Raw genomic sequence first — 25,284 nt, 5'->3', positions numbered from 1 at the left:
GTAGCCGGGCATGCACCACCACGCCCGGCTACTTTTTGTATTTTTAGTAGAAATGAGGTTTCATCATGTTGGCCAGGCTGGTCTTGAACTCCTGACCTCGTGATCCGCCTGCCTCAGCCTCCCAAAGTGCTGGGATTATAGGTGTGAGCCACCGCGCCCAGCCTGTTTTCAATATTTTATAATGAAAATTTTTGAACATTCGGAGAAGTTGAAAGAATTACACCCAGAACACCCATGTCTACCATGTTACTACATGTGTGTGTGTGTGTGTGTGTGTGTGTGTGTGCAATTTTAATTACAATGGTCGAGGAAGCTCTTGCTGAGAAGGTGATGTTGAATAAAGACTCTAAAGACCCTAAAGAGTTGAGAGAGAGCTGTGTGGAGTTCTGGGGCCCAGGCACAGCAAGTACAAGGATCCTGAAGCAGGAGCATTCTTGGTGTGTTCAAGGAAAGCAAGGAGGCCAGTGAGGTTGGAAAAGGGAATGAGGTCAGAGTAATAATAGGGTGAAAGAGGATGGCTGGGGGATGGGGGGGCAGTGAGGCAGGGCCTATGGTTTCTACTTGGTGAGGTGGGAAGCCACTGGAGGGGTTTAAGCCGATAATTGATGTCACATAATTTATGTTGTAATGGAACCCGTGTGACTGCTCCTGGGGAACAGACAAAAGAAAGGGTAGTAGAGACACCAGCTAGGAAGCAGATTCAGCTAGAAGAGATGATACCTTCCACTAAGGTGTTGGAGAAGTGGTTGGATTCTAGATAATTTTTGAAGGTGGAGTTGGCAGAATTTGAAGATCATTCCATTTCTGTTCATACAGAGCTTCCTCATTCTCTTTTGACAGCTGCCTAGAATCTCATTGTATCATAATGTTTTAAACTAGTCCCCGATGATGAATATTTAGGTTGATGCTTTCTCTCTTGCTGCCACAAAACAGACATATATTTGTATAAAATGCCACGTGGACATGTCATTCTTCACATAAGTGAGTATTTGTAGAATGAATTCCAAGAAGCAGAAATGCTGAGTTCTTTCGTGGATGTTGTATCAATTTTTGCTCCCACCAGGAGTATGGGTGTTTCCCCGAACCTTTGCCAAAGTGTGTTGTTCACAGTTAACTTTGTGATCTTTGCCAATATGTTAAATGGAAATTGGCACATTAATGTGTTTTAATTTACATTTTTCTTGTGAGAGAGTTTGAGCCTCTTTTTATGTGTTTAAGATCTCTTTGCCAGCCTGGCCAACATGGTGAAACCCTGTCTCTACAAAAATTAGCCAGGCATGATGGTGGGTGCCTGTAATCCCAGCTACTTGGTAGGCTGAGGCAGGAGAATCGCTTGAACCCGGGAGGCAGAGGTTGCAGTGAGCTGAGATCACACCACTGCACTCCAGCCTGGGTGACAGAGCAAGACTCCATAAAAACAAAAAACAAAAAACAACTCTTTGAATTTCCTTTTTTTTTTTGTGAAATGTTCATATCCTTTGCCTATTAAGTTGATTTTGTTTTCTCAGTTCATAGCTCTGTATATTAGGAACATTGGCTCTTTGTAATAAGAGTTGCATTTTTTTAAGGAGTTTGTTTTTCTCTTGACTTTTAGTGGGTTTGTTTTTTTGCCATGCTGAAAATTTAATTTTCATTAGTTGAATTTATTCTTTAAAAGCTCCTGGATTTTGGACAGTATTTTTTTAAAGGGCTTTGAAGATTATTGGAATGTTCTCACATTTTTTTCCTGACGTCTTATAGATGCTAATAAGCACTTACAATGCGTGAATGCTTTCACAATCCTAATGCTTTTACGGTTTTAGTATTCCCATGCAAAGCTTTCATCCATTTGGAATTTGTTTATCTTAGCGTAAGGCATGAGGTACAAATCTAACTTTACAGTTTTGTACTAATGTCATTTAGTAAACAAAATACCCTTTCATGATTTGAAACACCTCTCATTATATTCTAAATTCCTATGTGTATTTGGATTTATTTTCGGCCTTGTGTTTTATTCCATCGATCTGCCTGTGTGCACATATTTATTGTGGTTTCATGATATGTTCCAATATCTGGGAGGAAGAGCAGGTTATTCAGGTGTGTTTTGGCTTGATCTAGGGAAGAAAACAATTGGTAGGGGCCAGAATGGGTCTGCAGTTCCAAACAGAGCCTGTCAGACTAGTCCTGGGTTTTGGAATTGCTAGTTGGGGAAATACGGGCAGGATATTGACTTCCACAGGCTCTTCAAGAGTCTATGACAAGCACAGCCCTGTGCTCGAGGACAGGGTTGGCTGAATGTTAGGATAGTTAAATTCTTCAGTTAATAATCATACTCAAAGGATAATAGATCAGGGTTATCCTGGAGAAGGTTTCTTGGGTGCAGTGGTGCATGCTTGAAGTCCCAGATCCTTGGGAGGCTGAGGCAAGAGGATCGCTTGAGCCCAGGAATTTGAGACCAACATGGGCAACACCGGGAGACCCATTCTCAAAACCAAAAACCACTGCAAGTAGCTTGGGTGTAGATCTGTTTATTAAATTTGCACGGGTGCATGGGACACAATTGGATGGCTAGCGTCTATTTGGAATTGTCTGACAAGGATTTTCAAAAAGTTGCATGGTGAAATTTCACAGGGTTTATAGACTATGGCTCTGTCTTTGAGCCCCTCAGTTGTGTTAAGTGCAGGAGAAAGATAATGGCTTAGCAGAAATAGGGGGGTTCAGAGATGGGTGGAGACCTTCAGGGCACCTTGCTGCTTTAGTTCGCTGGAGCAGGTGATGCAGGAAAGGAGGCATGAGGATGTGGCTGGCCAGGTTTACGGGGGTCAGGTGGTGAGAGCCTCGAAAGCTGTGCTCAGGAACTTGGGCCGTGTTCTAAGTGGCAGGCATTCCTTTACAGTTCATCCTTGAGGGAAGTGACTCCTCTTTTTGACCAGCTTTGGCAGGCTGTGGAGGAGAGTTGGACCTGGGAGAGCAGAGAGGAGATTTACACAGGTCCACGTGGAGGCTGGTGCAGTCTGGCTTCGGTTAGGACCCAAGGGCAGGGATGGGGAGGTGGTGCTGCCCTGTCAGAGTGCCCTTTGGCCTGTCGTCCCGGGCTTGGCTGCCACATAGGAGTGCTTCGGTTTCTGGTACTCTTGCCAAAGGCTGGCAGGACTGAACAGTCTCTCAGTCTTCATGCTTTTCCCCTGAAAGAACCGGCTGCCTAGCCCCGGCCTTTAGCCTTCTCTCGTCACACTCAGTATCCTTGTTGCTTCTGCTTCCCTAGAGACGGGGCTTTGGGAGAGTAGGTAGCTGGAAACTAAAGATCATCCCCCAAATGAAGGGCCTGTAGCCAAGATAGGAGTAGTTTGGGGTTGGGAAAGGGAAAGGAAGAAAGATTTAAACAAGCATTTATTGAATACTTATGGTGCACAAGCCAGGGCACCAGGCATTGGGGAAATGCATATTATCCAAGATGCTGCTCCAAGGGAATTCACATGCTGACAATAATGTAGAACATTTGAATGAGCAGTACCTCTGGGGTAAGAAGCAGCTGGATATGTGAGGTGTGTAGTTGAGGACAGGGTTCAGGGCTGGAGAAGATTTGGGAGGGGGCAGGTCACCCAGGGAGGATGACTGGAGTGGAAAGAGACGTGGGCTTAAGTGGAACCACATCACACCACATTTTAGGGGCAAGAGGAGCCCCTTTAAGGAGCGTGAAGAGGACTTGGAGAAGGCCATGTCCCAGAAAAGAACTTCAAACAGGAGGCAGAAAACATAGAAAACATCGTGCTGTTGAGAAATGTCCATTGGATCTGGGGAAGAGTAAGACCTCGTGAAGGAAGGAGAGAAGATGGTGCGGTGAGGTGCCGGCCCTGCTCCGCCGCCACTCACACCTCAGCACAGGGACTGTGGCAACCCAGGCGCCTGCCCTACTTGGTTCCTGAATGGTATGTTCTTTGAATGGTTTCTGTCGGCCAGGGAGCAGCTGCTCCTCAGCCTCTCTATGGTTCCTTCTCAGTCTGCAGGGACAGAGAGGCAGAGCTCCAAGATCTCAGGCTTCTGGGCCCTGGCCACCCCAACAGAGGCAGAGGTTTGATGCTTTCTCTTCAGAAGCCTTAACTGGCCATCCTGTCTAAAACTCCCCTCTTGCCTCCATCTCCCCTCATTAGCTCCTGCTTCCCCCACCCCCCACCTGATATATATGATATATATTTTTGAATATTTAGTTGGTCTCCTCGCAATAGAATGTAAACACCATTAGAGCAGAGACATTGTTGGTTTGTCTGTTGCTGCATCCCCAGTTCCAAATTCCTGTTATGTAGAAGGGGCTCAGTAACGAATGAATGAATGAACCAATGAACAAACGAATGTCTAATTGTGGTTCCTCCTCAGTTCTTTGAGCTGAACGTGGGAGATAAGCAAACCATCACCTGCAGTAGGATAAGCTCTGCAAGAACCCGGGGAGGCTCCCTCTCCAGCGGGGTGGATGTGCATTGCTGGAGCAGATTGAGAAACTGAGTTCTGATGGGAGCTTAGCTGCTCGGGTTCCTCTCACACCGTCTGTTGCAGCCTGCTCCCTTTTGACTGAATGCAACAAAAAAGAATGGGCTGGGGTGGTAGGGCACCCCTAGCATGGCACACCCTCCCCCCACTTCACCCCTTGCAAGCCAAGGAGACTTTGAGGGGCAGTTCTCAGGGCACAGATCCTAGGGAGCCCACAGGGTGCCATTCTTAGGACTTTGTCACTGTGGGGTCTCATGGATCCTCAGTCCCGGGGCCTGGGTCACTTCCACTTCTAGTCTTTGACCTGTCTGGGTCCAGTGCAAATCTGTTTTCAAATACTGGATGAGTGACCTCCCTACAAACTGCCCAGTGGATTTCCCTAAATAGCAACTTATCTGTAGACCCCCTGGACAAGGGTTGTGTGTTAGGCCTTCTTTTCTCCATGTGGTTCCTGGCAAAAGACTCGGCATAAAGAGATATTTGTGCACACGAAGTCAAGGAAATGCTCCCGCATGGGATCCAGAGCTCAAGAGGTTTCTTCTCGTTTTCAGTCCTTTGCAAAGACCCTTGGTCTGCCTTATCTCATGCTGTTCTAATGTTTCCCAACACTTGAACTAAGTGTTGCCCCAGATTTCTTCACCTTTCGGACATCTAACTCCCTGAAGTCTCCCATGTCTTTGGTTTCTCAGCCTCTCCTGTGAAACATGGTGCTGAAGCCACACTTTTGGGTCTTGAACACTAAGAACCTGCACTCATTTACACTCTGACCAGTTCAGTTCCTGCCAACCAGCCCTGCTTTCATTTGTCTTTTTTTTTTTTTAGACAGAGTTTCGCTCTTGTTGCCTAGGGTACAGTACGGTGGCGCGCGATCTCAGCTCACCGCAACCTCCGCCTCCCGGGTTCAAGCGATTCTCCTGCCTCAGCCTCCCGAGTTGCTGGGATTACAGGCATGTGCTACCATGCCCAGCTAATTTTGTATTTTTAGTAGAGATGGGGTTTCTCCACGTTGGTCAGGCTGGTCTCGAACTCCCGACCTCAGTCGATCCACCCTCCTTGGCCTCCCAAAGTGTTGGGATTACAGGCGTGAGCCACCGCACCCGGCCTCATTTGTCGTACTGCAACTACACTGTCTGCTTTTCCACCCAGCAAGCCTTTCATTCACTTGTTCCTTCCGCAACATGCATATAGTACTTCCTGTAGGCCACATGTTGTGCTAGATGTTGGAGATAAAAATGAAAACTACACAGTCACTGTCTCCAGGGGTCTCTCAGTCTCCCGAGAAAGAGAAAGGTAAATGGATAAATACAATGAAGGGAAATTGTTAGGTAATAGAGTACAAATGGGTGCCCCAAGAGAGAGCTGCCAGGTCCATAAAGGGGTTGAGTGTGGTGGGAAGATATAAAGGTATCAGAAGGGTTTGGAGAGTAGTGCCTGTGTTTTGGACAGTCTGAGGGGCAGGTATTCTGGCTAGAAGAAGGTTGGGGAGCTCTACCAATCCTACGTGGCTGGAGACAAAAAGCGGGACATTTTGACCTTTATACTATAGCAAACTAGTATTTCAGCTGACAAACATCTAGAACTTCATTTATTCCCCAAACATTTTCAGATCTGTAGAAAAGATAACAATAGCAGTTCAACAGCTACCCTGAACTTAGACTAACCAAATATTAAAGTTTGCCACATTCACTTTCTTGATATCTGAGTTTTCTTTTTCTTTCTTTCTTTTTTTTAATTTTTATTTATTTATTTTTTTGAGACGGAGTCTCACTCTGTCGCCCAGGCTGGAGTGCAGTGGCGCGATCTCGGCTCATGGCAAGCTCCGCCTCCCAGGTTCACACCATTCTCCTGCCTCAGCCTCCCGAGTAGCTGGGACTACAGGCACCCGCCACCGCACCCAGCTAATTTTTTGTATTTTTAGTAGAGACGGGGTTTCACCATGTTAGCCAGGATGGTCTCGATCTCCTGACCTCGTGATCTGCCTGCCTCGGCCTCCCAAAGTGCTGGGATTACAGGCGTGAGCCACCACGCCTGGCGATATCTGAATTTTCTTTCTTGAACCATTTGAGAGTAAGTTGCACCATCATACCTTATTCTTAAACACTAATATACTCCTGAATATTTATATAGTATTTCCCAAGATTGAGGACATTCTCTTACACAATCACGATACAATTATCAGTCAAGAATTTTAACAAATGAGAGAATACTGTTATCTAATATGTTGTCCATATGTGAATTTTCCCATTAATGTCTTTTATAGCTGTTTGTGAATTTCAGCTTCCTATGTCACCAATTCACAGGTCCCATCCCTGACACGAACTCTGTCCCTTATCCCATCCCTAAGCTCATTCCTTCCCTGATCCCTACATGTATCTATTCATGGCCCTTAGCTGAATCTCTATAGCATGGACCACCTGTGCTAACTTCTACTTAGCCGTTAAAGCCTTTTTTTTGTTTTTGTTTTTTTTGAGATGGAGTTTTGCTCTGTCACCCAGGCTGGAGTGCAGTGGTGGGATCTCGGCTCACTGCAACCTCCGCCTCCCAGGTTCAAGTGATTCTCCTGCCTCAGCCTCCCAAGTAGCTGGGATTACAGGTGCACATCACCACACCTGGCTAATTTTTGTATTTTTTAGTAGAGACGGGGTTTTATCATCTTGGCCAGGCTGGTCTTGAATTCCAAACGTTTTTGAGATGGAGTTTTTCTCTTGTTGCCCAGGCTGGAGCACGATCTTGGTTCACCGCAACCTCTGCCTCCTGGGTTTAAGCGATTCTCCTGCCTCAGCCTCCTGAGTAGCTGGGATTAATTACAGGCAAGCGCTACCATGCCCGGCTAATTTTGTATTTTTAGTAGAGACAGGGGTTTCTTCCATGTTGGTCAGGCTGGTCTCGAACTCCCAACCTCAGGTGATCTGCCCGCCTTGGCCTCCCAAAGTGCTGGGATTACAGGCATGAGCCACCGCGCCTGGCCTCACATTTTTGTGTCTCTCCAGTCAAAAGCAAAAATAATCCCAACTGACAGGAAATTTACAACTTTTATCTAAAAGGATGCCTGTTGAACAAGAATGCTGTATATTGTCAGGCAAAGATAAGGTGCAGGTTGTGGCAGAATTGACAGGTTAGCAGATGGTTGGATCCCACTAGTCCTCTCTCTGTTCTCATCTGACCACACGCTCATCAAGAGTGGGGCCTTTGACCACTGGAATGCAAGAACAACAGCAGCAACAAAAACAAAAACCCGGAAAACAAAATTCCAGCTTAGTTTTATTGCTTGGATTATTTCTTCAGTTTCTGCAGAGTACTGAATGTGGGCACTGAAAAAGACTCCTAAACTTGTGGGTCACGCTGAACAGGGGATACAGTTGCTCTTGTAACAACACAGAAGGCCCTTATTTTTTTGAGACGGAGTCTCACTCTGTCACCCAGGCTGGAGTGCAGTGGTGTGATCTCGGCTCACTGCAACCTCTGCCTCCTGGGTTCAAGCGATTCCTGTATCAGCCTCCTGAGTAGCTGGGACTACAGGTGCCTGCCACCACACCCGGCTAATTTTTTGTATTTTTAGTGGAGACGGGGTTTCACCGTGTTAGCCAGGATGGTCTCAATCTCCTGACCTCGTGATCCACCCGCCTCGGCCTCCCAAAGTGCTGGGATTACAGGCGTGAGCCACCGCGCCCGGCCTTGCATCTTATTATAATTTATATTTAATCAAAGTAAGATTCATTCGTTCATTCGGTCATTTATTCTTGGAGATATACTTCGTGCTGCACTCTGGACTGACTGTTCCTCTTATTTTATTCTGAACTTCTCTTCCTCATCCTTGGGAATTTCCTTTTGCCTTTCTGTTTCCTGGATCCCATACGTTCCTCTTTCTTGGCTTATTTCTTTATTTCAGTGGACCACATCCTCCAACAGCTTCTTAAGAACGGGTGTGTAGGAGGTAAAAGGGTTTACTCCTTGCATTTCTGAAAATAACTTTATCATCATGTTTATTTGACAATTTGGCCAGGTACAAGGATCAGAAATTCTTTTCCCTCAAAATCCTGTAGACATTTTGTCATTTCTTCTGTTTTCCAATGTTGCCATTAAGAATTTGATGGGCCCGGTGGCTCACGCCTATAACCCCAGCGCCTTGGGAGGCAGAGGCCTGAGGATTGCCTGAGCACAGGAGTTCGAGACCAGTCTGGGCAACATGGCAAGATTCTATCTCTATAAAAATTTAAAAAATTATCTGACTATGTTGGGGCACGTCTGTGGTCCCAGTTACTCGGGAGGCTGAGGCAGGAGGATTGCTTGAGCCCAGGAGGTTGAGGTTGCAGTGAGCCATGTGTGTGCCACTGCACTGAAGCCTGGGTGACAGAGTGAGACTTTCTCTCAAAAAAAAAAAAAAAAAGTTTGAGGTCGTTTTGGCTCATTTTGTCATTTTGTATGTAAGCAATGTTTTTTTTTTTTTTTTTTTTTTTTCTCTCTGGAAGCTTTTAGGATTTTGCTCTTTGTCCCCAGCTTTCTGAAATTGTGCAGTGCTATGCGTGGGTCCAGGTCTGTTTATGTTCATTTTGTTGGCACTTGGTGGGTTGTATCAACCTGGAACTAATAATATGTCCTCAGGTCTAGAAAATTTTCTTGTTTATGTTAAATGTTTTCCTCACATTTTTTTCTTATTCGGGAAATTCTATTGTTTGGATGTTGAGTTTTGGACTTACTTTCTAATTTTACTTACTTTTTCTTTCTTGATTTCTATGTCTTTGTCTTTTTTTCTGGGATGTTTCATCAACTTTTCCTCCAATCCTTCTTTTGAAATTTTAATTTCTGCTATCAAGTTTTGATTTCCAAGTGTTTAGTGTTTAGATTCCTTATAATCCGAATGTTCTTTTTGTTGCTGTAGTAAATAGGTTCCTGTTCTTGCTTCATGGCTGCAATATCTTCTCTTATCTCTCTTTGTACATTACGATAATATTTTGAAAAAGTTTTCCTCTGCACGCTCTTATCTGTCTTTTCTCCAAGTTCCCTTTCTGTCTGGTCTCTTTATTTCACAGTGGGAGCTTTCCTTAAATATCTGGTGGTGCTTGGCTGTCATAGTTAAAGTAAGGCCCTGTGAGCTCATTGGAAACTGTGTGCATTACTGGAACTTTTCAACTAGAGGACTTTGCTGGGGGTGATGGGGATGCCAGATGCCAGCATCTCTAGGCCATGTCTGTTGGTTATGCTCAGTCTCCCCAGATCTCTTATCTCTGACTCAGAGGGTGTAAGCCAGGCTGCTGGTGTCCAGGAAGCTTGGGTGTGTGGGGGCGGGGAATCCCCCTGTCCAGTATGTTGTTTTCAGCATAGAATTGCAACCTGACACTCAGCTGTGCCTGGTTTCCCCAGAAAATAATCTTTATTTTATTTCATTTTATTTTTTTTGAGACGGAGTCTGGCTCTGTCGCCCAGGCTGGAGTGCAGTGGCGCGATCTTGGCTCACTGCAACCTCTGCCTCCTAGGTTCAAGTGATTCTCCTACCTCAGCCTCCCGAGTAGCTGGGACTATAGGCGCCCGCCACCATGCCTGCCTAATTTTTGTATTTTTAGTAGAAACAGGGTTCCACCATATTGGCCAGGCTGGTCTTGAACTCCTGACCTTGTGATCAGCCCACCTCTGCCTCCCAAAGTGCTGGGATTACAGGCGTGAGCCACCGTGCCCAGCCAAAAATAATCTTATATTTCCCCCAGGATTAGGCAGAGGTAATTTCCTGGCTGTGCAGATTGGGGAAAGAGATCTGGGGGTCTAACTGCTGCCTTTAGCTATTTTCAGCTGATTTTCTGTGTCCAATCTTACTCTATGTCTGTGCATTCAGAGGTAATTGGTGCCTTCAATTTTTGAGCTTTTTCAGGACTCTGTTGAAACTATGCCCCAAAGAGAAAGAAACCAATGACTAACAGAAATTCTTAAGTTTGCAGGATGGCAGATAAGAAAAGAAACCTCTTGCTGAAATGCTGAAACTTCCTCTGCTTATGAGATTAAAAAAACTGGCTGAAATCAGTTGGAATCCATATGGCCAGCTGGAGTCTATGCAGAATGAGCCCGCTGACCTCACAGCCTTTCCACTGCACCTTTCACACTAGCGCCCCCCAAATTTGCACCTATGACCCATGAAGAGGCATGAAGATACCACTGTGGAGGCCCGAGGACTTTCCAGACCTTTCCTTCCCTTCCACTAATCACCTATTCATCTCAGAATCCACCCGCTAAACATTTTTTTTTTTTTTTTGAGACGGGAGTCTCGCTCTGTCGCCCAGGCTGGAGTGCAGTGGTGCGATCTCCGCTCACTGCAAGCTCCGCCTGCCGGGTTCACGCCATTCTCCTGCGTCAGCCTCCCGAGTAGCTGGGAATACAGGCGTCTGCCACCACTAATTTTTTTGTATTTTTTAGTAGAGATGGGGTTTCACCGTGTTAGCCAGGATGGTCTCGATCTCATGACCTCGTGATCCGCCCGCCTTGGCCTCGGAAAGTGCTGGGATTACAGGCGTGAGCCACCGCGCCCGGCTTAAACATTTTCTAATGAAGACACTGCCTTAAAGCTGGCACAGAAAGATTTGAGCTGGACTTCTGTCTCCTTGTTGGTCGAACTGCGATAACAAGCTTTCGTTTTCTCAAAAACCTGGTGCCATAGTATCGGCTTCTAGTGCATGGGGCAGCGAGCCCTTTCACTCGGTAACACTGCGTCAGGAACTGGCATGCATTTTGGTGGTCTCACAACCCCAGCTCTGCCCCCCAGCACATCTCGTTGAGAGGTGACAGCGTGCCGGCAGCTCTCGGCGCCTCCTCGGCCTTGGCGCCCACTCTGGCCTTGCTTGAGAAGCCCTTCAGCCCGCCGCTGCACTGCGGGAGCCCCTTTCTGCGCTGGCCAAGGCCGGAGCCGGCACCCTCAGCTTGCGGGGAGGTGTGGAGGGAGAGGCGCGAGCGGGAACAGGGGCTGCGCGCGGTGCTTGCTGGCCAGCGTGAGTTCCGGGTGGGCGTGGGCTCGGCGGACCCCGCACTCGGAGCGGCTGGCCGGCGCCCCCGGCCCGGGCAGTGAGGGGCTTAGTACCTGGGCCAGCAGCTGCTGTGCTCAATTTCTCGCCGGGCCTTAGCTGCCTTCCCGTGGGGCAGGGCTCGGGACCTGCAGCCTGCCGTGCCTGAGCCTCCCCACCCCCGCTCCGTGGGCTCCTGTGCGGCCCGAGCCTCCCCGACGAGCGCTGCCCCCTGCTCCAAGGCGCCCAGTCCAATCGACCACCCAAGAGCTGAGGAGTGCGGGCGCATGGCGCGGGACTGGCAGGCAGCTCCACGTGCGGCCTGCTGCGGGACCCACCCACCGGGTGGGTGAAGCCAGGTGGGCTCCTGAGTCTGGTGGGGACTTGGAGAACCTTTATGTCTAGCTAAGGGATTGTAAATACACCAATCGGCACTCTGTATCTAGCTCAAGGTTTGTAAACACACCAATCAGCACCCTGTGTCTAGCTCAGGGTTTGTGAATGCACCAATCCACTCTGTATCTAGCTACTCTGGTGGGGACTTGGAGAACCTTTGTGTCCACACTCCGTATCTAGCTAGTCTAGTGGGGACATAGAGAACTTTTGTGTCTAGCTCAGGGATTGTAAATGCACCAATCAGCACCCTGTGAAAACAGACCAATCAGCTCTCTGTAAAACGGACCAGTCAGCTCTCTGTAAGATGGACCAATCAGCAGTATGTGGGTGGGGCCAGATAAGAGAATAAAAGCAGGCTGCCCGAGGTCGCAGAAACAACAAGCTGGAACACGTGTGTGCGTGTTGTTTTTTTGTTTTGTTCTTTGTATTTTTTGTTTGTTTGTTTGTGCTGTTTGTAGTAAGTCTGGTCGCTGTTTGGGTCTACACTGCTTTTATGAGCTGTAACGCTCACCGCGAAGGTCTGCAGGTTCACTCCTGAACCGCGAGACCAGGAGGAACAACTCCTCCAGACGCGCTGCCTTAAGAGCTGTAACACCGCGAAGGTCTGTAACTTCACTCCTGAGCCAGCGAGACCACCAACCCACCAGAAGGAAAAAAACTCCCAACACGTCCAAACATTAGAAGGAACGAACTCCGGACACGCTGCCTTTAAGAATTGCTACACTCATTGCGAGGGTCCGCGGTTTCATGCTTGAAGTCGGTGAGCCCAAGAATCCACCAATTTTGGGCCCACCGTTCTCATCATTTTCTAATCTGTTAAGTCGGTTATCACCTGGCTGCTTCCAGGTGACAAAATCTGTTAAATCTCATCTGCAGTTGTAATCTCTCCTACTGTCTTTTTTCTTACGAGTTTATATATTTAAAACAATTTTTTTTTTGAGATGAAGTCTTACTCTGTTGCCCAGGCTGGAGTGCAATGGCGCAATCTTGGCTCACTGCAACCTCCGCCTCCCAGGTTCAAGCGATTCTCCTGCCTCAGCCTTTCCAGTAGCTGGGATTACAGGTGCGTGGCAGTACGCCCAGCTAATTTTTGTATTTTTAGTAGAGACGGGGTTTCACCATGTTGAGCAGGCTGGTCTGGAACTCCTGACCTCGGGTGATCTGCCTGCCTTGGCCTCCCAAGGGCTGGGATTATGGGCATGAGCCACGGCGTCTGGCTTTTTTTTTTTTTTTTTTTTTTTTTTTTTTTTTTTTGGAGACGGAGTTTTGCTCTTGTTGCCCAGGCTGGAGTGCAATGTCGTGATTTCGGCTCACCACAATCTCTGCCTCCCAGGTTCAAGTGATTCTCCTGCGTCAGCCTTCATGAGTAGCTGGAATTACCGGCATGGACCACCATGCCCAACTAATTTTGTATTTTTAGTAGATACGGGGTTTCTCCATGTTGGTGAGGCTGGTCTCGAACCCTCGACCTCAGGTGATCCACCTGCCTCGGCCTCCCAGTGTGCTGAGATTACAGGTGTGAGCCACTGTGCCCCCTCCCCTCCCCTTCTCTCCCCTCCCCCATTTTTTTTTTTTTTTTTTTTTTTTTTTTAATCAGGACCGTCTGCAGTATCTCTTTGGACTGAGAGGTAGTGTTCTCACCCTGGTTGCTGAGGCCAGCTTTCTCAGGCATAGGGTGGAATGGATGGATGTATCACCTTGGGAATAAAAAATGGCAGAGGCCAATCTTCCGTGTGTTTATTTTATGTACTGTGTGTTCTGTGCTTGAGGCAGACTGTAGGGACTTCCACACAACCCTATTCCTTGACTCATCTTTGAGCCACAGCCTACCGTTTGCCCCAAGGAGAGAGTTGCAAAGGCTCTTCCCCGTCTGTCTCTTCACAGGCATTTCAGGTAGCGACATTTGTCAGATATCCTGGTGACAGTTTGACCTGGTACACTCTTGCTCTTTAGCCTCCTCTTTATGTTAAATACTCTGTCTTCAGTTCAACATTTCAGTTAGAACATTTACAAGTATTTTGTTTTTCTTAATCTTACTGCGGTATCTATGGCCCAGTTTACCTTATATTGAATCTCAGGTGTTTCCGAAATTGCACACACATTCACAAGTCATGGGTGGGTTTGGGTGGTCAAAGCTTCTTACTACATCCTTTTTTTTTTTTTTTTTTGAGACAGTCTCCCTCCGTCGCCCAGGCTGGAGTGCAATGGCACGATCTCGGCTCACGCAACTTCCGTCTTCCGGGTTCAAGCAATTCTCTCACCTCTGCCTCCTGAGTAGCTGTGACTACAGGTATGTGTCACCATGTCCAGTTAATTTTCGTATTTTTAGTAGAGACGGGGGTTTCACCATGCTGGCCAGGCTGGTCTCGAACTCCTGACCTCAGGTGAGCTACCCGCCTCAGCCTTCCAAAGTGCTGGGATTACAGGTGTGAGCCACCACGCCCGGCCTATCTTTCACTTTTAAGTTCAAAGTGAAGCAGCTGAACTGAAAACAACTAATTCCATGTAAATTGTTTGCAGGATTAAGTATCATTTTCAAATGACACCATATCACTTGGAATTTCACTAGAAAATCTTCCAGTTGCCAACTCTTTTCTCAGGTTCTGAGGTTTCCAAAAAACCTTATTTCTTTCCAAGTCTCTCAGCAATGCTTTTAATACATTATAGCCAAGTATAACCTTATTACTTCCAAATGACCAAAATCCTGATAACTTCATTCTGAAAACAGGCACAGTTTGAGCCAATATTGTAAATATTTGTTTTTAATAGCTTGACTTATGTCCTGAATAGAACTGAAAACACACACACACACACACACACACACATACACACATTACACATACATAACACACATGGGTTTTATTCATTAGAGTCAGACAGAAAAGAAATCTAATTCATTGAATTTTCCATGTTTAATTTATTTCAAGACGAAGATAAAATCAAAATTTGTCCTACTTGCATTCTTTGGCTTTGTGGTATTTCATATTTTAGTCAATCTTTATTTCTGTAAACATAAATGTACTCATACTTCTTGATTTACCTAGTTCAACCACTGTTCCTCTTAATTTAAAATTATTCAGAAGTTTTCTACAAGGCATTTTTCTTTCATAACCATTTCCTAAACTTTATTTCCACATCAAAGACTTGGGATTTAATAAGAATTCTGGAGTTCTTGAACTCACGTCGTCTTCCTCCGCTTCACCCAGATGATGGACAGTGTATTTAGACCAAGGCTGGAGTCATCGTCATCTTACAGCCAATGATTAAGCCCAGTACTCCTCTCATTTCCTCCAAAAGGGTTGGTTGGACAGGATCCTTCCCTAAGGCCCTTTTTTGGGGGATTATTTCCTGGTTCCTTCTGGTTGTTTAGCAACTGGTTAAATTTCCTCACTCTTTTCTCTGTGATGTCTCCTGTGCTCGACCTACATGACTTCCATCAGTACATATGGCTAATTGATGTTGGGTGGGGCTGGAAAATAATCAGTTAAAGGATGACCTGGAGAGCTATTGGTATATCCTGCCTGTTTTTTGTTTGTTTTTTCACACTAGATTCAGCTAGTGGGCTCCACACATGTTTGTTTGTTTTTTTTTTTTTTTTTTCCTGCAATCTCAGCTCACTGTAAGCTCCGCCTCCCGGGTTCATGCCATTGTCCTGCCTCAGCCTCCCGAGTAGCTGGGACTGCAGGTGCCTGCCACCACGCCTGGCTGATTTTTTTGTAATTTTAGTAGAGACGGGGTTTCACCGTGTTAGCCAGGATGGTCTTGATCTCCTGACCTCATGATCCACCCGCCTTGGCCTCCCAAAGTGCTGGGATTACAGGCTTGAGCCACTATGCCCGGCCACCACACATCTCTTGGCATCCACAAAGTGGAGTGCCACTGGGTGGATGTCTGCCCTGTTTGCAGCTGGTATGCCTTATCCCCTAGGCTTCTGTCTCCTGTAAGGCAAGGGGGCCTGTGGTTTCCGCCAACACTTTGTTTTGTTTTTTCAGATGGAGTCTCGCTCTGTCGCCCAGGCTGGAGTGCAGTGGTGTGATCTGGGCTCACTGCAACCTCCACCTCCCGGGTTCAAGCAATTCTCCTGTCTCAGCCTCTCCGGTTGGTGGGACTACAGGTGTGCACCACTACTCCCAGCTAATTTTTGTATTTTTAGTTTTTTCATAGAGACAGGGTTTCACCATGTTGTCCAGGCTGGTCTCAAACTCCTGACCTCAGGTGATCCACCCGCCTTGGCCTCCCAAACTGCTGGGATTATAGACATGAGCCACTGCGCCTGGCCAACACTTCTTGAGACAAGGAGTGACTTAGTTCATCTCTCCAGGCCTTCTTCTACTTTGTCTTTGACTTCTGCATGTCTGTTCCAGTTATTGCATAATGAATCACTCCAAAATGACGACTGAAGACATCAATCATTATTTTACTATTAGCGTTTAGAGTTTTGACAATTGACAGGGGCTCAGCTAAATTATCCTTACTTGGAGACTTTCATGTGGTTGTAGTTAGACAGTGGCTGAGGCTGGAGTCATCTGGAAGACTTCCTAAGTCATACTGGTGGTCAGTACTGGCTTTTTACCTGGATCTAGAGTTAGGGCTGTCGGCTGGGACATCCACACATGGTCTCTCCATGCCACCTGGGTTTCCTCACAGCATGGTGACCGTTCCAAGAGTGAGCAAAGGCTCACTCACAGAGTTAGCAAGAGTGATCCCAAGGCAGCAAAGTGAAAGGAATTGCATGGCATTTGACCTAGTCTCAGAAGTCACGGCCAGGCGCAGTGGCTCACGCCTGTAATCCCAGCACTTTGGGAGGCTGAGGTGGGCGGATCACGAGGTCAAGAGATCGAGACCATCCTGGCCAACATGGTGAAACCCCGTCTCTACTAAAAAGACAAAAATTAGCCAGGTGTGGTGGTGCATGCCTGTAATCCCAGCTACTTGGGAGGCTGAGGCAGGAGAATCACTTGAACTTGGGAGATGGAGGTTGCAGTGAGCCAAGATTGCGACATTGCACTCCAGCCTGGGCAACAAGAGCGAAACTCTGTCTCAAAAAAAAAAAAAAAAAAAAAAATATATATATATATATATATATATATATAGATTCAATGCAATCCCAATTTTAAAAAAAAGGATTTTAATTATTTATTTTAAGACAGAGTCTCACTCTGTTGTCCAGGCTGGAGTACAATGGCATGATCTTGGCTCACTGCAACCTCCGCCTTCTGGGTTCAAGCAATCCTCCTGCTTCAGCTCCTGAGTAGCTCGGATTACAGGTGCCCGCCACCATGCCCAGCTAATTTTTATATTTTTAGTAGAGACGGAGTTTCACCATGTTGGCCAGGCTGGTCTCGAACTCCTGGGGTTAAGTCACCTTCATGCCTCAGTCTCCCAAAGTGCTGGTATTACAGACGTGAGCCACTGCACCCGGCCAAAAATACAGTAGGAATTTATGCTAATAATTTTTATCAATATCAATAAGCAGATTGCAAAATTTATAGCAAAAGGCTAAGGTAATGGAATATCTAAAATAGTTTTGGAAATGAAGAACGATGTTTCAAGACTAGTACTACCTGATTTCAATACTTATAAAGCTACAGTCATCAAGTCAGTGTAGTATTGGTGGAATGATAAGCACGTAGATCATGGAGAAAAATAGCCCAAACATAGGCATAGGTGTGGTGAAGTGATTTTTGGCAAGGATGCAAAGGCAATTCAATGGAGGAATCAAGAAATGGTGCTGGAATGATATTTGCATATGAATATTCATATGCAAAAAATGAACTTGACCCATTCTTCATACCTCATACAAAATTTAACTCAATGGATCACAGACTTAAATATAAAGTGTGAAATCATAAACTTTCTAGAGAAAACAGGAGAGAATCTTTATGGTCTTTTGTTAGGCATAGGCAAAACACAATCCTTAATGAAAAAAATTGATGAATTGTACTTCATCATAATTCAAAACTACTCTGCTAAAGACACTGCTAAGAGATAAAAAGGCATCTTCACTCTGAGATGCTGCTTGTGGGGAGAAAATGTTTGTAAATCACACGTCTTTCAAAGGACATAATATCTGGCGGGACGCAGTGGCTCACATCTGTAATCCCAGCACTTTGGGAGGCCGAGGAGGGCGCATCACCTGAGGTCAAGAGTTCAAGACCACCAGCCTGGCTAACATGGTGAAACCCTGCCTCCACTAAAAATGCAAAAATTAGCCGGGGCATGGTGGCACATGCGTGTAATTCCAGCTACTTGGGAGGCTAAGGCAAGAGAATCGCTTGAACCGGGGAGGTGGAGATTGCGGTGAGCCGAGATTGCGTCACTGCACTCCAGCCTGGGTAATAGAGTGAGACTCCATCTCAAAAAAAAAATAAAAATAAATAAATAAAAAAGGACTTAATATCTAAAATATTGCTCCACGCTGGGCAGACTTACGCAAACCTATCTGCAAAAGTCTGAGGAAGCTGAGAGGCCGAAGAAAGAGGCTGACATATCTAGTTTCTCAGAAACATTTAATAGAAACTTAGGAACAGAAGCCACATCTGTGTCTCAGGTGGTGGTGAGACAAGATCGTGGATCCCCTCTCCACTACTCCCTAGACCCAGGCCTTATATATCATACGGAAAGGGTGCATGCTTCAGAAGGGATGTATAGGACAATTGCTGAAGGGCAGGCTTTATGGTAAGTACATACTCTTACACAAGGAACAATAGGTAAACTGGAAATCTTACAGGCTCCTTGAACTGTGGTTAATCAAAAGTCTACATGAGGCCGGGCACGGTAGCTCACGCCTGGAATCCTAGCACTTTGGGAGGCCAAGGCAGGTGGATCACTTGACGTCAGGAGTTTGAGACCAGTCTGGCGCATACTGGTCTCAGTGTGAACATAGTGAACCCTGTCTCTACTAAAAATACAAAAATTAGCTGGGCGTGATGGTGCATCCCTGTAATTCCAGCTACTTGGGAGGCTGAGGCAGGAGAATCACTTGAACCCAGGAGGCAGAGGTTGCGGTGAGCCGAGATCGCACCACTGCACTCCAGCCTGGGTGACAAAATGAGACTCTGTCTCTACAAAAAAAAAAAAAAAAAAAAGTCAACATAGCTGCTTAGCATCCAAGCTGGAGTTGCTCCACAAATATATAAATAACTCAAAACTCAACAACGAGGAAAAAAAAAAATCCACACAAGTTTGAATAGATACTTCACCAAAGTAGATATACAAATGTCAAATAAACACTTGAAAAGATGCTCAGTATAGTCAGTCATTAGCAAAATGTAAATTAAAACCATAACGGCATACCAGTGTATACCTATTAGAATGGCTAATCCCTCCCCACTCCCCCACAAACCATCCCTTGCATCCAAAACAAACAGTACCAAGTACTGGTGAGAATACAGAGCAGCTGGAACTGTCATACATCGCTAGTGAGAGACTGACTATACAAAAGGACAATGGACAGAATCAAATATAAACACAGACCTTTGTCCCATAACCTCTGTAGCAACCAGCCCTGGAAGGAAGCCAAACAAATCCTCTACAGCAATTGGCCTCAAACAGTAAGGGCTTGGTCAATAACTGCCAGATTTCTTCATTTCTGTCTCCACTTCCACTTAGGACCAACTGAGAAAGGCAAATATGCACCCCTAATCAATCATATAGCCTGCTCTGCTTCTAGTTCTGCTTATAGCTTCTCGGCGCCAACAGCCTCCAATCAGCTTGTTCTTAGGAAATCAGAAGTGGGAGGACCACTGAACCCCACTCCCTGACATCTTGATTGTTGAGAATTTGCCCTTAGAGGCTGAGCCAGATTCACATCAATTTCTGCTCCAAAATCTAAGGTGGTTCCTCCAGGAACAACTCTGTTTTATTTTATTTTCTAAGGTAGAAGATACCCTCTCCCTCTCTTGTGTGAATTCAGGAAGATCTTCAGCTTATTCTGAAGTCTGAATTTTCCCAGTGAAGCTCCTCTGTAAATTACCATCTTCCTCTAACCGATCCTTGTTTTCCAAACTGCATTCCATATTATTTGGTGCTTTTGTTCATCTAAAGCTCCTCTAGCCTTAACCCACACGGGCAGAGTGGTTTTTCCTCCTGCTTGTGGGAGTATGTTTATCTGAAGTCTGATGTCCAAACCCTGTATCTTTTTGAGAATTGTTGGGCAATGGTAGAGTTGAAGGCATTGACAGCTTGGAGGTCAATTTCAATTTTTAACACTGGGCAGAAAAAAATTCCACTGATCGTTTGCTTCTTTCCCTCAGGCCTACATTTCAGTGACATGTTCTTTGTTTTGTTTTGAGACACAGTCTCGCTCTGTTGCCCAGGCTGGAGTGCAGTGGCGCAATCTCGGCTCACTGCAAGCTCCACCTCCCAGGTTCAAGCCATTCTCCTGCCTCAGCCTCCCAAGTAGCTGGGATCACAGGTGCGCACCATCATGACTGGCTAATTTTTGTATTTTTAGTAGAGATGGGGTTTCACCATGTTGGCCAGGCTGGTCTCGAACTCCTGACCTGATCAGGTGATCCGCCTCAGCCTCCCAAAGCATTGGGATTCCAGGCGTGAGCCACCGCGCCCAGCTGAGAAGCAATATTTGACATTCTCGACACCACTTTGACAAAATAATACTTGTAAAGTACGATATTAACATATTTTTTTGATTTTGTTTTTTCAGAGACAGGGTCTCCCTCTGTTGTCCAGGCTGGAGTTCACAGGCACAATCATAGCTCACTGCAGCCTCGAACTCCTGGGCTGAAGTGATCCTTGCATCTCAGCTTCCCACACAGCTGGGATTACAGGCAAACACCATCATGCCCAGCTAATATTTTTTATTTTTGTTTTTATTTTTTGAGATGGAGTCTCGCTCTGTCACCTAGGCTGCAGTGCAGTGGCCACGATCTCGGATCATTGCAACCTCTGCCTCCTGGGTTCAAGTGATTCTCATGCCTCAGCCTCCCAAGTAGCTAGGACTATAGTTGCCCACCACCATGCTCGGCTAATTTTTGTATTTTTATTAGAGACAGGGTTTCATTATGTTGGCCAGGCTGGTCTCGAACTCCCAACCTCAGGTGATCCACCCGCCTTGGCCTCCCAAAGTGCTGGGATTACAGGCGTGAGCCACCGCACCCGGCCAATTTTTATTTTTGTAGAGACAGAATCTCACGATGTTGCCCAGGCTGGTCTCCTGAGCTCAAGTGATCCTCTCGCCTCAGACTCCAAAAGTGCTGGGATTCCAGGTAGGAGCCACTGCACCCAGTGGACACATGTATCTTTATGATCCTGGTACTTTCATAATCTCAGCTGGGGCTTACTGCACTTGAGCTCAGTTTTGGATTTTTGAGTTTCAAAAACCCAGGCATTAGGAGGCCCATGGAGAAGCAAAGTCCACATCCAGGGTCTTCTCTGCACTTACCTTGGAAATATCATCTGATGTCAGTGTCCTGGAGCCATATCGGGACAGAGAGGGTACACATAAGTGACCAGTGGACATCACCTGCATAGAAAAGCTTTGTTCGTTGTCCAAGCCTGTCGCTTTGACTGCAGCCAATGTGTCACTTATTGACTGGCCCTCTCCTGTCCCTGCTCAGCTCATCTGAACCACTTCAGGTGGATGCCTCTTCTTTCAACATCAACATTATTTGTCAGTTGCTTTGCTGACTGATCCGTTTTCTAACAGTACTTCTATGGACTTTACAAAGTCTTCTAATGTTTCAAGACTTGAAATTTCACTCTGTAGCCAGTTAGATGGACAAAGGTAGCTGGCATTAATAAAGCAGGAAGAACCGGGTGCAGTGGCTCACGCCTGTAATCCCAGCACTTTGGGAGGCCGAGGCGGGCCGATCACCTGAGCTCAGGAGTTTGACACCAGCCTGGGCAACACAGTGAAACCCTGTCTCTATCAAAAATACAAAAAATCATCCAGGCATAGCGGCAAGCGCCTGTTTTCCCAGCTACTCGGGAGACTGAGGCAGGAGAATTGCTTGAACCTGGGAGGTGGAGGTTGCAGTGAGCCGAAATCGCACCATTGCACTCCAGCCTGGGTGACAGAGCGAGACTCTGGGTCAAAAACAAACAAACAAACAAACACAAAAAAACAAAAGCCACAAAAAAAAAAAAGGAGGAAGAGGTGAGTGAACTAATTTTGAAAGTGGTCAGTTCATTGAATATTTTTTGGCTTTACATAAGCTTGGGAGTTTGAGGATTCAGAAAATAAGCATGCAGACCGTATTAGTTATCTATTTCTGCTTTACAACGACCTCAAAACTCAGTGGTGTGATGGCACATGCCTGTGGTCCCAGCTACTTGGGAAGCTGAGGTGGGAAGATCACTTGAGCCTGGGAGGTGGAGGCTACAGTCAGCTGTGACCATGCCACTGCACTCCAGCTTGAGTGACAGAGCAAGACCCTGTCTCAAAAACAAAACAAAACAAAAAACACCCATTACCTTACACAGTTTTGGGAGTCAGTTGGTTCTAGTTCAAGAGTCTTATGAGGTTTCAGTCAAGAGATTGGCTGTAGTCATCTGAAGTCTTAACCGGGGCAGGAGGATCTGTTTCCAAGATGGCTGCCCCACGTGGTTGGTAGTTGGAGGGTTCAGTTCCTCACTGGCTCGTAGCAGGAGGGCTCAGTTCCTTGCCACGTGGACCTCTCCATAGAGTTTCTTGAGTGACCTCATGACATAGTAGTTAATTTCTCTCAGAGAAAGCAGAACAAGAAAGAGGGAGAGTGGGGAGGGAGGAGACGGAAAGCCCTAATGTCTTTTAGGACCTAGCTTTGGAAGTCACACACATCATTTCATACTGCATTGGCTTTGCAGACCAACCCAGACACAATGTAGGAGACTATGGAAAGGCATGCATATCAGGAGGTCGGAATCACTGGGGGATGTTTTAAAGAATGGCCACCACGAGCATGCCCTCTGAATTCTGGTGATTTACATTCCTTCCACATGCAAAATACACTCGCTCCCTCTCAAGCTACCCCAAAGTCGAATCCCATTATAGCATCAGCTCAAAGTCTAGAATTTCATCATCTAAATCAGGTCCATGTATAGATGAGATTTCTCAACTGTATTACCTTAAGTATACTTCCAGAATACAATTCCTCCTCTTCTTTTTTTTTTTCTTTTTTAAAGAAGTTTCACTCTGTTGCCCAGGCTGGAGTGCAGTGGCACGATCTCAGGTCACTGCAATCTCTGCCTCTGGGGTTCAAGCGATTCTCCTGCCTCAGCCTCCTGAGTAGCTGGGATTACAGGTGTCCACCACCATGCCTGGCTACTTTTTGTATTTTTAGTAGAGATGAGGTTTCACCATGTTGGTCAGGCTGGTCTTGAACTCCTGAACTCAGCTGATTCTCCCACCTCGACCTCCCAAAGTGCTGGGATTACAGGCATGAGCCACCGTGCCTGGGCTCCTCTTCTTCTGAAGACCTGTAAACTAAAGAGAAAGTCATCTGACCCCACCCCCAACATACAATGTTGGAACAGGCATAGGCTAACCACCATAGATATCCCTATCCAAGACGGGAAGAAATGGCCTGGGTCTTTCCTCTCCCATCACAACTGCATCATAATCTAACCTCACTCAGTCTACCCACAAGTTACTGTGAATTACTTTTGGAAGCCTTCCCAACTCTTCAATCACACTTTTAATCTGCAAGAAAATTACTGGGTTTGTGCCATTTCTATGGAAGATGAATTTTACCCACCACATTTTGATTTTTCTGAATTTCACTTATAAAAAAAACCTTTTGGTTGGGCACGGTGGCTCACACCTGTAATCCCAGCACTTTGGGAGGCTGAGGCAGGCTGATCACATGAGGCCAGGAGTTCGAGACTAGCCTGGCCAACATAGCGAAAACCCATCTCTACTAAAAATACAAAAAATTAGCCGGGCATGGTGGCAGGCGACTGTAATTCCAGCTACTCGAGAGACTAAGGCAGGAGAATTGCTTGAGCCCGGGAGGCAGAGGTTTTAGTGAGCCAAGATCGCGCCACTGCACTCCAGCCTGGGCGACAAGAGCAAAACTCCTTCTCAAAAAAAGAAAAAAAAAAAAAGCTCAACTTTACTCATAATAAGGGTAATGCAAATTAAAATTAAAACTAGGGTACCATTTTTCACCTATCCGATTGGCTAAGGTAAGGTTATGAACACACCATTGGCAAGAGTGAGGAAGAATGGGCATTCTCATACACAGTCCACTGGTGGGAGTCTAAATCAGTACAACTTTCTACAGAGGGCAATTGAGCAGTTTCTGCCTAAATTCGATATGCTTTTGGTCCAGAAATTCTATCTCCAGGGTTTTGTTCTACAGAGATACTTTCATACGAGAAATGCTGTATATGCGAGGTTTATTTCTTTCAGCACTTTTTCATAGCTACAAAAGATTACTAATAACCTGTGTCCACTACAAGAGACTAGTAGAATTTATGGCGTTACAGCAAATGGCAGCCTTAGCAAAGAACAAGGAAGCTCTTTATGCATGGATATGGAATGACCTCCTGTTGCACTATGGAAAAACGAGATGCAGAATAAGGCATGCTACAATGTGCAGAAAAAGACAAAGATAGGCGTGTATTTGCTCAGTAATATTAGTGCACAGAAGAGACTGGTAACTGTGATTGCTGGGAGTGGAGCAACTGGGTGGCTTGGGGCCAAGAGGAGGGAGAAACTAGTGAATATCACTTTGTACCTTTTGAATTTTGAATCACATGAATGTACTTCCCAGTAAACAATTAAGCAGGGCCGGACATGATGGCTCATGGCTGTAATCCCAGCACTTGGGGAGGCCGAGGCAGGTGGATCACTTGAGGTCAGGAGTTCAAGACCAGCCTGGCCAACATGGTGAAACCCCATCTCGACTGAAAATACAAAAAGTAGCCGGGCATGTTGGTGGGTGCCTGTAATCCCAGCTACTCTGGAGGCTGAGGCAGGAGAATCGCTTGAACCCGGCAGGTGGAGGTTGCAGTGAGCCGAGATCACACCACTGTACTCTAGCCCGGGCAACAGAGCAAGACTCCATCTCATTAAAAAAAAAAACACCAAAAACAAAAAACAAGCAAACCAGAAAATATGCATCACAGACATATTTTCGTGGACTTCATTTGTGTTACCAGGCTGATTGTAATCCATGCCATGAAGTTTATGTTAGTATTCCCCTTTTGTTTACATTGCCTGATAATTTGTTTCCCTTTGTCTCCCCCAAGGGAAGCATTCATTTATAATGAATTTTTCAGCTCAGTGTGTTTCAGCAAACACTTATTGACACCCACAAACCCTGACACTGTGCCGTCTCCAGGGGAAACAAAAGTGAGAGTCCTGCTGGGTGTGTAGTCCCTGCCTAGGACGGGCTCACATTAGTGGGGGATACACACATACAAATGCTCACACTGCAGTATTAACTGTGCAACAGTAGAAGTGTGCGCAAGGAGAAAAGTGTTAGAAAGGAAAGCT

The 25,284-nt window shown here is 46.1% G+C and overlaps 1 long non-coding RNA gene across 1 annotated transcript, besides 6 other annotated features; it reads right to left on the bottom strand.

The window, feature by feature from the left end:
- Window positions 1–2,860: 2,860 nt before the first annotated feature.
- On the bottom strand, window positions 2,861–23,268 carry LOC105371499 (uncharacterized). The gene is made up of 3 exons (XR_001752768.2): window positions 22,278–23,268; window positions 21,247–21,327; window positions 2,861–2,941 (listed from the first exon to the last, which is right to left on the bottom strand). It is a non-coding gene; the product is annotated as an uncharacterized LOC105371499 (long non-coding RNA).
- Window positions 3,924–4,093: an enhancer, noted in NCBI's record as "experimental_47184 CRE fragment used in MPRA reporter constructs". NCBI's record gives its function as "activates a minimal promoter by MPRAs in K562 erythroleukemia cells, with activity observed for the non-introgressed 17:4567564 variant allele {active_cell/tissue: K562}" and the evidence as "EXISTENCE:reporter gene assay evidence [ECO:0000049][PMID:34662402]".
- Window positions 7,880–8,049: an enhancer, noted in NCBI's record as "experimental_47181 CRE fragment used in MPRA reporter constructs". NCBI's record gives its function as "activates a minimal promoter by MPRAs in K562 erythroleukemia cells, with activity observed for the non-introgressed 17:4563608 variant allele {active_cell/tissue: K562}" and the evidence as "EXISTENCE:reporter gene assay evidence [ECO:0000049][PMID:34662402]".
- Window positions 9,989–10,158: an enhancer, noted in NCBI's record as "experimental_47179 CRE fragment used in MPRA reporter constructs". NCBI's record gives its function as "activates a minimal promoter by MPRAs in K562 erythroleukemia cells, with activity observed for the introgressed 17:4561499 variant allele {active_cell/tissue: K562}" and the evidence as "EXISTENCE:reporter gene assay evidence [ECO:0000049][PMID:34662402]".
- Window positions 11,214–11,383: an enhancer, noted in NCBI's record as "experimental_47177/47178 CRE fragment used in MPRA reporter constructs". NCBI's record gives its function as "activates a minimal promoter by MPRAs in K562 erythroleukemia cells, with activity observed for both the introgressed and non-introgressed 17:4560274 variant alleles {active_cell/tissue: K562}" and the evidence as "EXISTENCE:reporter gene assay evidence [ECO:0000049][PMID:34662402]".
- Window positions 18,478–18,693: a silencer, noted in NCBI's record as "fragment chr17:4552879-4553094 (GRCh37/hg19 assembly coordinates)". NCBI's record gives its function as "represses an EF-1alpha promoter that drives an FKBP-Casp9 reporter gene in an ReSE screen in phorbol 12-myristate 13-acetate-treated (for megakaryocytic differentiation) K562 erythroleukemia cells {active_cell/tissue: K562(+PMA)}" and the evidence as "EXISTENCE:reporter gene assay evidence [ECO:0000049][PMID:32094911]".
- Window positions 19,869–20,163: a silencer, noted in NCBI's record as "tiled region #3058; K562 Repressive non-DNase unmatched - State 22:ReprW". NCBI's record gives its function as "represses a minimal TATA promoter and a strong SV40 promoter by Sharpr-MPRA in K562 cells {active_cell/tissue: K562}" and the evidence as "EXISTENCE:reporter gene assay evidence [ECO:0000049][PMID:27701403]".
- Window positions 23,269–25,284: the final 2,016 nt, after the last annotated feature.

Source organism: Homo sapiens, chromosome 17 (assembly GCF_000001405.40).
Source record: "Homo sapiens chromosome 17, GRCh38.p14 Primary Assembly".
Lineage (NCBI taxonomy): Eukaryota > Metazoa > Chordata > Mammalia > Primates > Hominidae > Homo > Homo sapiens.
This window is presented reverse-complemented; position numbering and strand designations above follow the sequence as displayed.